The following is a 16,211-nucleotide window of genomic DNA, read 5'->3' as shown; positions in this document are numbered from 1 at the left end:
AAAAATATGGAGCTTGTATTGCTTTTCTGAAATTTATGGGTTTGATGTTTTCAAAAAACTTGACTAGATATGATGCAGTTTGAACTACCAACCCGAATCTCCATATTGCATGAATCTGAAGTACTTTGAGGGAGTTAGTGGCTCAAATGGCCTTCTGGGAGCAATCGATTTCATCTATTTCTGACAAAGGGATGAGAGCTTGATGAAAGGAATCGAGCAGTTACCATCCAGTCTACTCTTACTGATGGGCCACGGTTCCAATCCGACTCAGGGAGCCCCAGCTGAAGGCCTTATTTCTGCAGCACCTCCTAAGTGGGAGTCCAGGAAACTGGGCTTTGCCCACTCACAGCCTCTGCAGGGCGTTCTGGGGGTGCGGTAGAGGACTCTTCCCTTCCCTGGAACTGGGTCCTACCAAGTCCAGGGATTTGTTCTATCAGGAAGAATAATGTGTTCAAGAGACCAAAATAAAATCAACCCGGGAACACTGCCAAATTCTTCCTCTGCCTATCACTTATTCTCGTATAGAGCCGGCCTGTCTCCACGCTGGGGAATTGCAAAAATCTAAAACTGACCCCTCTCACCACTTAGTGGAATCCAACAGCAAAGGAAAAAGGTTGTTAGCAAGGACAATTTGCTCTGTACCAACCCACTGGCCGGCAATTCTCAATCAGTGCGGTAGGGCTCCATTACCCAGCACTGTGAGTGGAAACTAAGGAGTCTAGAAAAACCTTAGATCAGCTAAGAGCAGAGAAATCAGAGGCAGAACTTAAATATGACATTTCCTTCTGAGTCCATAGTGCATCCCTTATTCACTGGTTGGAGAAAGCTGGCAAAAGCGCTCAGCTGGAGGCAGGCGTTTTCTGTGCGTTGAGGCGCCGGAGGAGCCATTCCCTTCGGGAAAGACAAGGTCGGGGTGGGGGCAGTCGCTCCGGAGTGCACGATCCGGTGGCTTTATTTGCTGGCCTGGCGGGTCTAGGCTGGAAAATGCACACTCAGCAGGGAAAGGGGAAGAGAGATTGGCGGCAGTTTTCTAAAAACAACACAGCTCAAGTCTCCCTCGTGTGCCCCCTCGCTCACCCCGCCGAGGCTCAGAGCTATCCAAACGGGCGCTCCGGAGCGAGCGCGGAGGTCGGGTCCCCCCAGGACGCAGGCGGGCCTCCGAGACTCCAGGCCGCCCCGGCCGCCGCTCCCTCCCGGTTCCCCTTCCCTGTCAACCTGCCAGGTCCTGAGAGGCGCCTCTCCCTCCGAGCCTGGACCGAGGTCGCTCCGGGTCACCCTAAATCTGATGATGCCGCTCGCCCGGCGCAGCCGGGGGCTGGGACTGGCGGGGCTGCACCTGGGGAGGCGGCGACCGCGCGCGGGTAGTAGCCGAGAGCCCAGGCTGCCTCTGCGGCGCTCACTCCCCCGGGGTCTGCGCTGGGCGCGGTCGGCGCCCCCGCCTCGCCTCCCGCCTGCCCGCCTGCCCGGGCGCAGGGCTGCCCATGGCTTCGACAGTGCTCCTTCCGCTCAACTTAGGCATTTAACTCCCAGCCCTTCGGTGCCCACTTCCCACCCCGCGCCTCCCAGGGGTCCGACAGCTGAGAAGAAGGAGGAAACTGGCAGAGGAAAGAGGCGCTCGGGGGGGCCGAGTTTCCAACTTGGCGACTGGGAATCCCGAGGCGCGTGGGGAGGAGAAGACAGGCTTGACCCGGGGCAAGAGAGTGGCGAGTGCGGGCTCCGTGGGTGCACCTCCCACTGGCCCGGGAACGGCCTGCACCCCGAGGGGCGCACGTCACTGCTCCCAGCCCGAGTCGCGAGCGCGCAGTCCTGGCCTGGGGCCCGCGCGCCTTGGGCTTTCTCCCTGCCCGCCCCTTTTTCTTCCGCCAAAACCTTTGACCAGAGTCTCCTTGCCAGCATTCCTACCTCCCTTTGGCCAGCTATTTGTGCCAGGTAGGAATCAGGCTGTACTTTGGCTGTGTGTGTAGACGCCAATCCCCAGGAGGCGTGTGACCTTTTCACCTTACCCACAAACTCCCTGGGAGGTGCCCCGTGGGCACTGACCCTTCTCCGGGGCCTGATCGGTGACCGCAACCTGTTTCTTCCCAGAAATGTCCTTGCTTTTCGCATCTACAAACGCTTCCTGCAGCACTTCTCGGAAAACCCTCGGGGACGGGCCTGGGGGGCATCCAGCGGGCTGGGGGCACGAGCCGCTGTGGGAAGTGGGGGTGGCAGGAGCTCCAGGGCCGGCGTGCACGTTGTCTGTGGCCGGGAGCGGACACTGAGAGGGCGCAGCGAAGAGCACCCCTCCCCCGCCACTCTTTCCCTCCCTCGGGATGCACAGAGAAACGGGGGCCGCCCGACCCCTGATTTCCACACCCCTCCCTAGCACCTGGGCTCCCAGACAAGGTTGGGCGGGGTCGGGCGGCGATTGCCCCCCTGCTTGGAAGGCGCAGCACCTCCCACCCTCCGGTGTTCCCTCTGCCCCAGAGGAACGGGCACCAAATCTCGGGAAACAATGAAGCCTCCGCGGCGCGCAGAGGGCACCCAGCCGCGCGCCCTGATGCGGGCCAGGGAGGCCGCGTGGGGCTGCAGCCCGGCCTCGCCCGCCCAGGCGGTCTGTCTTCGCTTCACACCACAGCGACACTGCTGCCCCTCGCCCGGCTTCGCGGTGCGGCTCCCACTCCAGCCCGGCTTTCCCCTCCTCGCCCTCCAGCTCTGGGCAGGGGCGTCCAGGGGTGCCCCGCTGCTCCCCGCCACAGGTCTCAGGATGGCGCGATGAGGAGTGGCAGGGGGTGACCCTGCGTTCCTCGCCGCCGAGGGCGCGGGCCCCGGGATTTGAAGTTGCGAGAAGCAGCCGCCACCTCCCGGGCGCTCCGCACTGCGCGGCGGCGGGATCTGCGCCTGCAGGAGCTGCCCAGCTCTCCCTCTAGGGGTGCAGAGCGAGCACGCGAGGTGGGCTGGCCAGACCCTGCGGCTGGCACTGACCTCCGCGCCCCTTCCTCCGACGCCCGCACCCACGCGACCGGGGCGCAGACTCCCAGCGCCTTCCTTCCCGCGGAGATCCCTGCAGGGTCTCTGGGAAAGACAGACAGACGGACGGGGAGAGCACTCGGAGGGAAAGTTGTTCCTCCCAGTCTCCTGTCAGGCAATTACAGGCGAGCCCAAGCGGGGAGAGGGGCGGGAGGAAGCGAGGGAAGGGCTCCGGAGTGGGGGGAGGCCGCAGGAGGGGAGGCGGGGGTGCAGTTGGTGAAACTCCTCTGTCTCCCGCTCATCTTTTCATTGCTCGTTCCCCTCCTTCCCGCAGACACCCGGACCTCCCCTGGGCGCCAGCTCCGCGGCTCCAACGGGTCCAGAAACAAGCCGGATTTTTTTTTTTTCTTCCTGGAAATTGGCTTTGGTGTGTGTTGCCCTACCTCCCTCCTCCCCCTCCCACCCACAGCCCCCCCCCGGCCTTTTTTTTTTTTTTTTTTTTTTTTGAGACATGGCCCGGGCAGTGGCTCCTGGAAGAGGAACAAGTGTGGGAAAAGGGAGAGGAAGCCGGAGCTAAATGACAGGATGCAGGCGACTTGAGACACAAAAAGAGAAGCGTTCCTCTCGGATCCAGGCATTGCCTCGCTGCTTTCTTTTCTCCAAGACGGGCTGAGGATTGTACAGCTCTAGGCGGAGTTGGGGCTCTTCGGATCGCTTAGATTCTCCTCTTTGCTGCATTTCCCCCCACGTCCTCGTTCTCCCGCGTCTGCCTGCGGACCCGGAGAAGGGAGAATGGAGAGGGGGCTGCCGCTCCTCTGCGCCGTGCTCGCCCTCGTCCTCGCCCCGGCCGGCGCTTTTCGCAACGGTAAGTGACAGGCAGAGGCGCGGGTGACAGCGGCGCCCCGGCTCCCAGCTGCCCGCCCCGGACCGGGGCTCAGGCGGGGCTTCCCGGGATCAGCCGGGAACAACCGACTCCCGGGCGAAGGAAACTTTTATCTGGGAGGAGAGAAGAAGAAATGAGATCAGGCGGTTTAGAGCAGGAGGATTTCAGGTCTTTGGGCTCCCTCCTGACGTTGATCCTTGGGCTGTGGGGCTTTTCCTTACCTCTGTTACAAGACAGAGCTGTCTACCTTCCCAGATCAGCATGCCAATTATCTTAATAATGTTTCCTCCCAAAGGCAATTAGAAGAGACTCCCTTTCAAAAATCTGATGGCTGTTGAAAGTTAATGAACACTTTACCAGGAGATCTTACTTCCTGGTTCCTTTGCTGCTCCCCTAAGCCGTTTCCTCTGGTGGGTGACGGCCAGAGATATCGGTTTGTGGGTTGATGAAACTCCCTCCCCCGCCTTTGTACACCTTCCGTAATCTGTCTGGAGTATGACTGAAAGTTACATAGTATCAATACAGGAATCTGACATATACAGTGTAAGGCACCAGGATATCTGAAAATCCCTAAGCTAGTTGCAGCTTCCACTTAGCTTTTAAAATCACTCACTGTTAAGTAAATGAAAAACTATACTGGGGTCTAAACAGTACCATGTAACCTAAATAATGTGTTTTAAAATGGGATCTGGTTGTAGGCATGTTTGACTTCACACTGTAAAGTAAGTGCAGGCAAGGGTATGCAATTATCTTTACAGTAAGTCGTCAGCAATTGTTATTAACTAATGATCAAATATTTACTTTTGTCTGGCTTAGATTTCAATCACAGTAATTAGAAGAAAAGAACATCCACTACTTACTGTGGTATATTGTTTTAATAAGAGACCGCAAGTGGAGGGCCTCATACCAACAGGAATTTAAATCACATCTTTATGATGGAAGTTAATCTCTCTAATATGCTTTTTCAAGGTTTTGTGATTTTAGCAATGGATTTCCCTCAGCAGCTACCAAGCAGTATTTTAAGAGATGCTTAAAGCAAAACACATGCAAAAAAAAAAATTATGAACATGGAATTCAGCTTATTAATGAGCCCAAGTTGATGGCATTTTTCTATAATCTGGCAGGAAAGCAAGACACAAAAAATTATGAATGTAGAATTCAATTTATTAATGAACCTGAGCTGGTAGCATCTTTCTATACTCTGGCAGGGAATGAAATAGCATTCTCGTCCAACTGAAAGAGCTCAAATGGTTGGACTAGAAATTATAGTAACCCTGTCCTCCACAACTCTTGAGACTAAATCCATAGTGGGGGTGTTCACAAGATAGATTTGAAGCTCAATGCAAAGAGCTATCAGACTTTAGGTTGTGAACTACACAAATATATATGCAGTACACACACACACACACACACTTCTTAGTTTTCTTAGCAGAAATCTGGGGAATGCTGAAAATCTGGCTTTAGTTGTTGAGCTTTACCAGCAAAAGCCATGTCGCTATGCTTGAAGTGACCAGAGCCAGAAAATGCCTCTGTAACTCAGCAGACCTCTCAAAGCCATGTCCACCTCCTCTGAGTAACCAGTGTCTGCTAAATTAATTCATTAACCTTATTTAGGACTAATGGTCCAGAGTCATTAGAAACTGCTCTTTCTTAATCAACTGCTAGAGAGATTGAACAGAGCCAGGGAGTCTAGCAGTCCACATTATCTTATTACACTGTCACTTTCTCAGAAGTCACAGATTAAAGAGCTCTGGTGTGGTACCAAGTCCACCTAAATGTCTTCTGAAGTGACTCTGTCGAGTGACTAGAACCAGTGCTGTTTTATTTCACTCCTGTAACAGATGCCAGACACTACCATGATGTTTGTCCAGAGCTAGAGGAAACTTAATGAGACGAGGTCACTTTCCAAGTTTTCTGCACATTCAAAATAATGCAAGAGTCTCAGCAGAATCACATAACAGAGTCCAACATGATCATTAGCTGAGATTTTGAACTCCAGTTGCAACATCATTTCTTCCTGGCAAAGCTTACACTTTTACAAGCCAGTGCAAAGGAAACCAGCATAAGACTACCCCCAGTCTAAGGAACAAAGTCAGAAGCACCTAGCGATTGAGAAAAACAATATAACTTATATTGTCTTCTTTTTTTAATTTATGGGAAATGATTTCTGTAATGCATGTAGCTTTATGCATTTTTGATGTGCACTTCATCTTTCATTTCCATTTGACCTGGTTTTCCTGTAATAAAATTCTGTAGATTTATAAATTCATGCTGAGAGCAAAGAATGCCATTCTCTTTCCACAGGGAATCTATTAGATGCAGTGTTAAAATCTACATCTACCATTACTGAAAATTTGTGATTGATAGGCTTATATATTTCACTGTTTTCATACCGTTTCTCTTATATAGTTTATGCACCGAATTTTTATTGCTCAAAATTAAGCATCAATAAATGTGGCAGCATTTCAGGCTGAGGTGCTCCAGTATGAAATCCATCATAAAATGTGACAATGAGAATCTATGCTGAACAATATAGGCAGCCCAGAGACTGGTTTACTTGGTTTATTTGGCTTCACTTGAGCATTTTTGAAATGAAGGCTCAAAACTACTTAGCTCACCTTTCCCAGAATGTGAGAATGTGGGTTACCATATGTGATACCCAGACCTGTGTGGTGGGTTATTTTTCACCCAACATTTAGGTAATTAGAATTAATGCCATGTGGCTATTTACTTTTCCTTCTGCCCCGTTGCTTTGATCCGATCTCCAAGCTTGAACAACTTTACTTGGAGAAGTAAAGCAGAATTATTTCTGCTTCACCAAATATACTTTGTTCTCTGTTGATTTGGATCTCAAGAGCAGAGATAACTCAAAATCACTTAGATTTATGGGCAGATAAAACAACAACAACAAAAGGTTTGGCTTTAAGCCAATCAAAGACAATCCCCACTGATCAATGACATAGACCAGGCTTATCATCAAAAAACAACACAAGGGGTCGAACAGCATCTTTCAGTCACTTTCCACTTAGAACTTGCTACTTAATGTGATTACACTTCTTGGGGGATAATTAAGTCTAGCAGAAGCTCCCAGGGGACCATGTTAACATCAATTGAGGGGATTTAATGTTTTTAATGCTAGAAGACCTTTTCCTTAGGAAGAAACTTCGGGGCTGGGGGGAAGAGTCCTCTCAGATCTCAGTTGGCTTTCTGCCTGAGTCAACCTTCCTGAGATCAAAGAGTGTTTTTTCCTGGAGTGTTGCACTCAGAGCCACACGAAGGACTTACGGGGACCTTTTAGAGTTCCCCTTAAAAAGTTAAGGAATGTTTAATAACCAGTAATTTACATATAAAGCTAGATTACCTAACAGGTTGTCAGGAAAGATCTGCTAAAATCTTACTTTCATTGCAGATAAATGTGGCGATACTATAAAAATTGAAAGCCCCGGGTACCTTACATCTCCTGGTTATCCTCATTCTTATCACCCAAGTGAAAAATGCGAATGGCTGATTCAGGCTCCGGACCCATACCAGAGAATTATGATCAACTTCAACCCTCACTTCGATTTGGAGGACAGAGACTGCAAGTAAGTGGGAATGTTTTTGAACAGGGCACCACAGCACCATCTAGTGGTCACGCCTGTCTACGGGGGGGAAGTCGGTGTGTACAATGTAGATTATAAATGGATCCAGGAGGGATTCCAATCTCAGCCAGATTATATGTCAATGGTATGGAAATTGAAGTACGTTAAGTGATTTCTGAGTTCCCCAAACCAGGAAGATTATAGTTAAATGTGTAAGCTCTTATACTCCTTCCTGTTAGCACTTTTGGTTTGGGAACTCTTGTTAAGAAATGTATACAGTATGTATGTTTCTTTTTTCTTTCTTTTTTTTTTTTTCCTGGAGAGGGGAAGAACTAGAAACTCAAAAATCTCACTTGTATTTTTACGAAATACAGTGGATCACTAATATACATCGCATCCACAGATAGTGTGATTGGAGATCTCACTATTTGAGATATATTGAACTGTGGCACATCTTATGATTTAAGAACTGCATTCATCTTACTAAGTAAGTTTGACATGGAAAAAGCAAATTGAATAAAATAAGGCCTACAGGATAAGCCAGATGAGGGGTTTTGTAAATGGTGGATTACTGATTAAAATACTTTTATGGAAAATGCTAGAAAATAATTGTTAAGACACGATGAATACAATGGGAACTCAAATACACATCAGTGTTTCATCCACCTGCTTAGTCTTGCTATCTCTTTCTATTGTTAAGTTTCTAAACATCAACTTATGCCCAATTTCGTTATTATGAAGACATTCTCACTATAGAGACAGTCGAAATTATATTTCCTCACTTTATGTGAAAGAACTGGTATGTGGATATTGCTTTCCACAGTATCGAAAGTATGTTTTTACCTTGCACGTAGCAGTCCACTCAGATACATGTTTGCTCGTCTCTCTTAACACCCAACAGACCCCCTGTCTCTGTCTTGTCCACATTATCCCATTCTGACCCACTGAAAGTGGTGTAGTCTCCAGAGACTTGAACCTGAATATCCATCTTTTAAGTTTGTACATATATAAATAGTTTTATCAAAGAAAAATAATCGATTTAAATCTCAATTCTAAAGTGTTTCTCAGGGACTGAGAGGTTTTCACAAGTTTTAAAGTGGGTCAGTTTGGTGTAACCGTATATGATATCTACAGACTACTGCTACCGCTGGACCTAAATATTATTTTGCAAGTATATTCATTGTTAAAGACAGTCTATTTGAACACACATTTCTTTTGGGAAAGAACAGAGTAATATCAAAATCTTCCTACCTGTAGGAAGTGCTCGACAACCTGTTGAGTTGGTTTAGTAAACTAGCTTTTCATGGTCAGAGAGATGAGGTCATTTGGTTCATTCAACATTTTAGTATCTAGAGAATTAGCATAAATCCACAGGCTGATGACCAGTTTCCAAATAATCAGTGTATACTACAGTGCAACAAAATTACACCAATTCCAATTTATCTTTGCTTTGTGATTCAGAAGTGCCTCAGGGCATTATATTGACTTTTTAATTGTGTATGGAAGTTACCATTAATAGTGTTCCAGTGACTGCTTGGAAACAAAGAGTTCATTGTATTGATTTATTTATTTTTGCTAATATTCTTTATGGTGGTTTTTACAGTGTCAATCACCTAGACAATCTGGAGACTTGTTTTCTTTTATATTTGATTTACTTCATTAGTAGTAGCAGTAGTTATTAGTATTTGCTTTTTGACCATGTTTAAACTGCTATAGGAGAAACTCTGGTAAAACATACTCAAGTAATAACATTATTCCAAAAAATAAAGTGCTGTTAGAATTCAATAAACTGACGTTTACTAATTTCTAATCTGGAAATCATGACCATCAATACGTGTAATATAATACTTAAAGAATTCAGAATAATCACTAGTTATTGGCAGTGATGTGGTGGTAAATGTTTAACAGCTGGCTCTTTGGAGAAGACGAGTCAAGTCCTCATTTGTATGTAGCACATGCCAATTTCTGTGGTGTAAATACTCTCATCATAGCCAATTTCAAACTAACCATGTGATGTCACTGTGCCCAGACTAGCAAAGAAATGTGCACAGTTGGTTCTTATGAGCTGGTGGGCGCCAGATCCAGCACACAACTGGAGTAGAAATTTAAGAAGGGAAGCCAGTTGAATCACTTAATATATGTAAAGGGCTTACAATTCTATTTGCACATACATTTCTTCTGGGAAAGAACAGAGTAATATAAAAATCTTCCTACCTGTAGAAAGCGCTCAACAACCTGTTGAGTTGGTGTAGTAAACTAGCTTTTCATGGTCAGGGAAATAAGGTCATCTGGTTCATTCAACATTTTGGTGCCTAGAGAATTAGCATAAATCCATAGGCTGATGATCAGTTTCCAAATAATCAGCGTATACTAATTATTACAACAGCATCTCACAGTATTACAATGGTGTCTAGCTCACAGTAAACCTTAAATAATGATTTGTCATATCATGGTGTCAGGTGGGGTATAATGGGATTAAAGGAGCACCTTTTTGGTTAGTTTTCTTTTTAAAAAGTACATTAAAAGATGATTGTAATTCACAGAAAATGACAGTTTTAGTGATATCAGCAAAGTATTTGAGAAACTGACATGGCCAAGAAGATGTTACATAACAATCTTAATAATGGTGACTTTGTTTGTTTTTTTAATGCTACAGAGTAAGGTGATTTCTTAATTGTCCCAACTGAGGCTTTGCTCTCTGTGAAGGTGTCATCTCCTGGCCAAAGCTGAAAGGCTGTTATATTTAGCCTGATGAAGTCAATGGAGATTAGATCCATGGAAAATATCTTCCTGCTGTGTTTTGAAGTGTTGCATTGTGAGCTTTTTATCAATGAGAAACTCCAGAAAGATATAGGAAGACCAGCATAAGGCATTCCTTTCACTATCTTTCTAAGCTGATTCATATGAATGACTAGTGCTCAGTGTTGAAGGGTGCATTTGAGATTCTACAAATGTGGCAAAATACTTACCTCCTTTTGTGAAGGCTTTGAGAAGAATCCACAGATTTAAATTTTACAGGGGATTGGAATGCCCTAGGGGGAAAAAAAAAACCTGGGAACACCAGAAATTATTTGAAGAACAAATTCATAGACTTCAAAGTTTAGATTAGATTCCTACAAACATAGTTTTGTTATTAGGGTTTTTTTGTACTTTATATCAGGCTATTTACAAAAATGGATTGGAGGTGGCACAAAACTAGGCACAGTTAAAACCACATTCTGAAAGCTGGTGAGCTTTTAGTTATCACTCTTGTTAAGAACAAACTATTCATCTTATTTAAGACATTTAATATTTTTCCTTGTTCCAGCTTCATTATATGTCTGTTGGCAGTAAAAAACATTTGCTATGCTGATGTCATAGGGTTACTAGTAGGATCAAGTAGTAGATAGGAAAGCCTTTTTAAAAGGTAAAAGTGACCCTCAAAATAAGTTATCATTATTATGATATCTTTAACAAGTTGGTGATTTTTAGAACATTTGGAAATATGAAACTAAACATACGTCAAAACTAAATCTATTGACCCAGTAATGAGATGATTTGCACATGATACACCCTGCATTTTCTCTTGAAATGGTCAGTATTTGTATAGTCAACTTCCACCCTGAGAAAGCTTAAGAAATCGATGCCTTAGCACATTTGCTTATTGTGAAACATCTTTGAAACCCAAGTAAACAGTTTTCTTTTGTAGAGTATAGGGATGGTTAAGTCATTAGACCAGCTACATAGTCCTGGTAGAAAAAAAAAAATTTTTTATTTAGATTTTTATTGTTTTATGTATAATTAGGTAAAAAACATCATTTCATAATCTTAACAATACAGTATACAGTCACAACTTCTCATGTGAATAGCACCAAGACTGACCCAGTTCATGAGTTAATTCTGGATCATACTTTGCAAAATGGTGAAGTTTTTGCAGTGGCTGTCAAAGGTGGATACTTCGTTAGGAAAATTAAATGTGTAAGTTGTGCCTCCATAGTTTTAACATGCAACATTCTGTGTCTATGCCAGCACTGAATGAGGTTTCATTACAAATAAGCATCAGAACCATAATACTATAACCCCTTAATTCTTTTATTGAACAAGATGTGGTGTAAATCAGTCGATCAACAGACCAGTGGAGCGTCTGTCTGCAGGGCTAACACAGAACTAGGATTTTTTCCCAGCTATATATATGCATGATTTTATTATTAGATTGAGAGGATTCTAGAGAATGCTCTGACCGAAGAAGGTGTTGAGGGAGAGGAAGGAATGTTGATTTCTTTTTTGCCAGCAAAATCCTGCACACTTGTGAAGTGTCAAAGCATAATTAAAAATAGAAAAGAAATAAAGAAGTGACCAGTGGAGAGTTTTCGGAAACACATGTTCATTGCACATTGAAAATGGTTTTCAGTATGTACATCGAACTAGTTAGATCTTACTCCACTAAAGTTTTCTTCAGTGGTAAGGCAGACATCTTGAATCTCATAAAAGTTTATATCTGTATAATAAACAAGAATGTCATTGATATGGTAGTTAGAATTTATGAAACTTCTCCAGTTTCCCAGCAATGCACACAATCAGCATGATAATTTATAATGGTTTGTGACAAATACTGCTGAGCAAAGAGGTGTATGGTTACATTCAGATCAGATGTCACCATCCGGGGAGCAATAAAAATTTCACAGACATTGGGTTAAAAACATTAAGGAAATGAATGCAAAGCTCTAACAAAAGTCTAAAAAGGTGGTAGCATTGGGGGACTCAAACCCAGTAGTGCTTTTCCTACTGACAAGAAGAAAATCTTACTTACCGACTTCAGTGTCTGATTTGACAGTGCTGTTTCATATCATGGCACAGTTGCTTTTTTCAACTATGATTTAGATTTGTAATCTCTCCTCTGTGTAACCAACAATAGGCATGTTTTTCCTAACTCAGTGCGTTCAAAGGAAGATCGCATACTTGTAACTTCGTAAGAAGTTTAATCATAGTGAAATTATAAGCAAATAGAGATGATATTCGTTTCAGAATTTTGTTGGGATAATTCAGATATTGTTCCTTTAATGCTAGTTTTTAAATTACCTAAATTATTAAAAACTTTGAAACAGTGCTAATGTCTTTTATTTTCAGAGAATATAAACTTATGGAATGAAAAATAATCTGCCCTTGGTTTCTCAAATCTGATTATTCCCGCACATTTACATTTATTCCTGCACATTTACACTTATTGGCATTTTTTGGAGTGTAAGTTCCATTTTCTGTTTTCCTGAGTAATATGAGTAATATTTTCTGTTTTAATCTTTCTTTATTATTACTAGCATGGATTTTTTAGGATTAATTTGGATTTTTAAAAAATGTTACATTAAAATACTATTTATCTTAATCACTGAGTTTTTGGCTTTTTGTATCCAAGGGAAGTACCTCACTCTAGTCTTGTATTTTAGAGCATCACTTAGACTAAAACAAAATCCTTGTTTTATGGAAAACTGAGTTTTTTAAGCCAAACTACATCTCTATTTTCCATATGAAATAGAGAAGAATATATACCTTTAGTAAAGTATAATATATATTTAGAAAAATACACAACCCAAGTATAAGATTTGATAAAATTTTGCAAGGTGGATACATCCACAAAACCAATCTAGAGGCCAACATTTCCAGCTTCCTAGAAGCCCTCTGATGTCAGTTTTAGTCACCAACCTTTGCCCTCAAGGGCAACTGCTGTCCTAACTTCTGTGACTTCATTTTTATACATTTCAAAATCAGGTAAAACTCAACTAGAGTCTTAGAAGTCTGTATGTACAGGCCAGGCACGGTGGCTCACTCGCAAACATTGGGAGCCAGAGGCAGGCATCACTTGAAGTCAGGAGTTCGACTGAAACCAGCCTGGCCAACATGGTGAAACCCCGTCTCTACTAAAAATACAAAAATTAGCCAGGCAAGGTGGTGCACGCCTGTAGTCCCAGCTACTCGGGAGGCTGAGGCAAGAGAATGGCTTGAACCTGGGAAGCGGAGGTTGCAGTGAGCCAAGATCCGCACCATTGCACTCCAGCCTGGGCAACAGGAGCAAAACTCCGTCTCAAAAAAAAGAAGCCTGTGGGTACTATCCTTGAACATAGACAGTGAAAGTCTTTGGAGTGGATATAGAAAAAATAGGTACTATTTCTAATCAAAAAGCAGAATCCTACTGATGCATTTTCTAATTTTTTTCAGTGGCTACTGATGGAAATATCTTGTCTTTGTTTCAAACTTTTCAATCTGGAGCCTGCTTTATTATGCAGATTTTATGTGCAAGCAAATTCAGAAACATTCTCCTTTGCCGTATTTTTCTTCATCTTTTTATTTCTGGTTTTGATCTCTGGTGACTTCTCAATGTGAGAGGCACCACCACCAAGCTCAATTCAATTAAAAAACTATTGGTGGAAGAATGAACCCTCCTCAGAAGAACTGCTGGCCAAAGTTGTTACTACCACTTGCAGCATCCTTGGTTATTACTCAGGCAGATAATTATCTGCTTTCTTCCTTTTGATTTTTTTCCCCATTAGCACCAAATTTAATTTGAACAGAGCCTCGTGTGTTTAATAAAATTAATTTTCTTTATTATCCCTTAGTATAAGCAATCACATTTGATCATAATGAATTTTGAGTATTACGAGGTTGTTTTGTGTTAGGCATTTCTGTAATTTAAAGGAAGCAACTTTTGCGAGCTAAAGGAGAAGGTTGGTTGAAATCTTATCAGACTGAATCAACATGTGCATGGCATTTCCAACGAGATTTCACTTTAGGGAGCAGGCACTTAACTGATCCAAGTGAGACATATGCCTTCAGCGGGCATGCACATTCTCAGCTCCTTTCTTTCCAGCATAAAACTTGATACTTGCATGCCTGCTGACATGGCTCCACAGAAGCGCACACACAAACACATATGTGTGTGTAAAGGAAGCTAAAAAATAAACGTAACTAATTGCAGTGGTAGTATTCATCTAGACTGATCATTAAGCCTAAAGAACAACAAGAAACAAAAATTCATTTGGATCAGGTTCCAAATGCCTCTTGCCTGGGTGTTTGTCATCCATCCTGATTGTAAGAGTCAGTGGCTTGGCAGTTCGTTGCACCTTGAGAGGAGGGTTCTCCTGCTCTTCTCTGGTTGATTGGCCTGTATCTGGTATCTAGGGCAGTTAGTAGTGTCTTATGGTTGAAACAATTCATAGATAGCTTAGGAAGTGAAGCACATTCATTCAGAGCTCTACTAAGTTCTGCAGAGGAGCAGAGGAAGAAAAAAAAACAAACAGAATATTTTGGCTTCCGTCTACTCAATTCCTTTATAGAGTTCAAGTTCATGGAGAACTTTTGCCTTATAACGTGGTCTTCCTCCTCATCAAGCCCAGGTCTTTATTGCTAGATCTTCTTTGGTCAACATGTTGTTTTTTTCTTCTTTAACTTAAATAATCATAGAGTGTTTGGGAAGGAATAATTATGACTGGTTTTTTTTTGAAAAACATATTTATTTATTTATTTAAAACACAGAAGGATGGGGGGGCTTCTCACTATGTTGCCCAGGCTGGTCTCGAACTCCTGAGGTAAGCCATTCTCTGTCTCAGCTTCCCAAAGTAATGAGATTACAGGCCTGAGCCACCATGTCCAACCTATGCCGGGCTCTTGCTGTTGAGTCTTCAATATGTGCCCATTATGGGGATGAGCACTCACTTTTCTCTCATCCTCATTTGACAGCTGAGATCCCTGAAGCTGGGAAAAGTCATATGAACAGAACCCAAATAAATAGTTGCTGCGTCACAAATCTTTCTGTCTTTGTGATCAAAGTCACACATGGATGTGCTTTTTGAATGAGGAAATTCTCATGAAACGTTACCAGCTTATTTTTTCTTCAAGCAACTCTTTTATTAACAAGTTCTCAGGAAAGTTTAAGTATAAACCAACTAATTCTGAGGAAGGACTTAATTTTTGAACTTTAAGTTCAGATTAAATAAGCACTTGTGAAAACTGTGCATAGAAACTTTCAACCAATTGGTGGTTTTCCACTCAATTGAAACTTGGCCAGAGTGGTGGCTCAGGTCTGTAATCCCAGCACTTTGGGAGACGGAGGTGAGAGGATTGCTTGAGGCCAGGAGTTCAAGGCTAGCCTGAGCAACATAGCAAGACCCTCTCTCTACAAAAAATAAAAAATTAGTGAATTGTGGTGGTGCACACCTGTAATCCCAGTGCTTTTGGGGGCCAAGGCAGGAAGATCGCTTAGGCCAGGAGTTTGGAGTTTGAGGTGACAGTGAGCTATAATCTTGCCACTGCACTCCAGCTTCGGCAATAGAGCGAGACTCTATCCTTCAGTTTTTAAAAAAACAAATAAATAAATAAAAACTTGCCTTAACTTAGGAATGGAAATCCTGGGGAGTAAATATCTAAATTCTAGTGCTTTTTGTTGATGGAGTTTAAAAGCACAAAGCGCATATAAATACAATGTTTATTTAAAGCCTGACAACCAGGCCACACATGGGTTTGATCTGTTCAATTGGTAAAAGGGCATATTAGATACCACTGTGTCCAGTGCTTGTTCTCAGGCCCAGAGGTGAGAAGGCCACATTCCCTTCCAAGCGCTGGTCATCTACTTAATCTCAGGTAAATAGCAGGGAAGTGTTCTTCTCCCACAGCGCCCTCATTCATACAGTTTCGATCCTTGCATTTGCCACGGTGGCTCTGTAAGGGTTAAAGGGAGACTGCTCAGGCACTGGGTTCCTAGGAGAAATGGAAGAGTTTTCTGAGAAGAAACAGATGCTCCAGTGTATTTCGTTTTATCTGGGTGGATACTT

General features: G+C 43.5%; 1 protein-coding gene across 18 annotated transcripts in view, besides 1 other annotated feature; it reads left to right on the top strand.

The window, feature by feature from the left end:
• NRP1 (neuropilin 1) overlaps positions 3,457–16,211 on the top strand; it is a 157,175-nt gene continuing 144,420 nt past the window's right edge. For 17 of the 18 annotated variants that reach the window (NR_045259.2, XM_047425977.1, XM_006717525.3 and 14 more), the window contains exons 1-2: positions 3,457–3,814; positions 7,242–7,416. Coding sequence is in view for 16 of the 18 variants with exons in the window: in XM_047425977.1 (XP_047281933.1) it covers positions 3,742–3,814; positions 7,242–7,416 (248 nt within the window). In the remaining 2 variants the exon portion in view is untranslated. Of the gene's footprint in view, positions 3,815–7,241; positions 7,417–16,211 lie in introns of those variants that run through there. The other variant, XM_047425978.1, reaches the window with a different exon arrangement.
• Positions 10,149–10,443: a silencer, noted in NCBI's record as "tiled region #15712; HepG2 Repressive non-DNase unmatched - State 8:EnhW". NCBI's record gives its function as "represses a minimal TATA promoter and a strong SV40 promoter by Sharpr-MPRA in HepG2 cells {active_cell/tissue: HepG2}" and the evidence as "EXISTENCE:reporter gene assay evidence [ECO:0000049][PMID:27701403]".

Source organism: Homo sapiens, chromosome 10 (genome assembly GCF_000001405.40).
Source record: "Homo sapiens chromosome 10, GRCh38.p14 Primary Assembly".
Lineage (NCBI taxonomy): Eukaryota > Metazoa > Chordata > Mammalia > Primates > Hominidae > Homo > Homo sapiens.
Note: the sequence above shows the minus strand (reverse complement) of the source record. Positions and strands in the feature narration are given on the sequence as shown.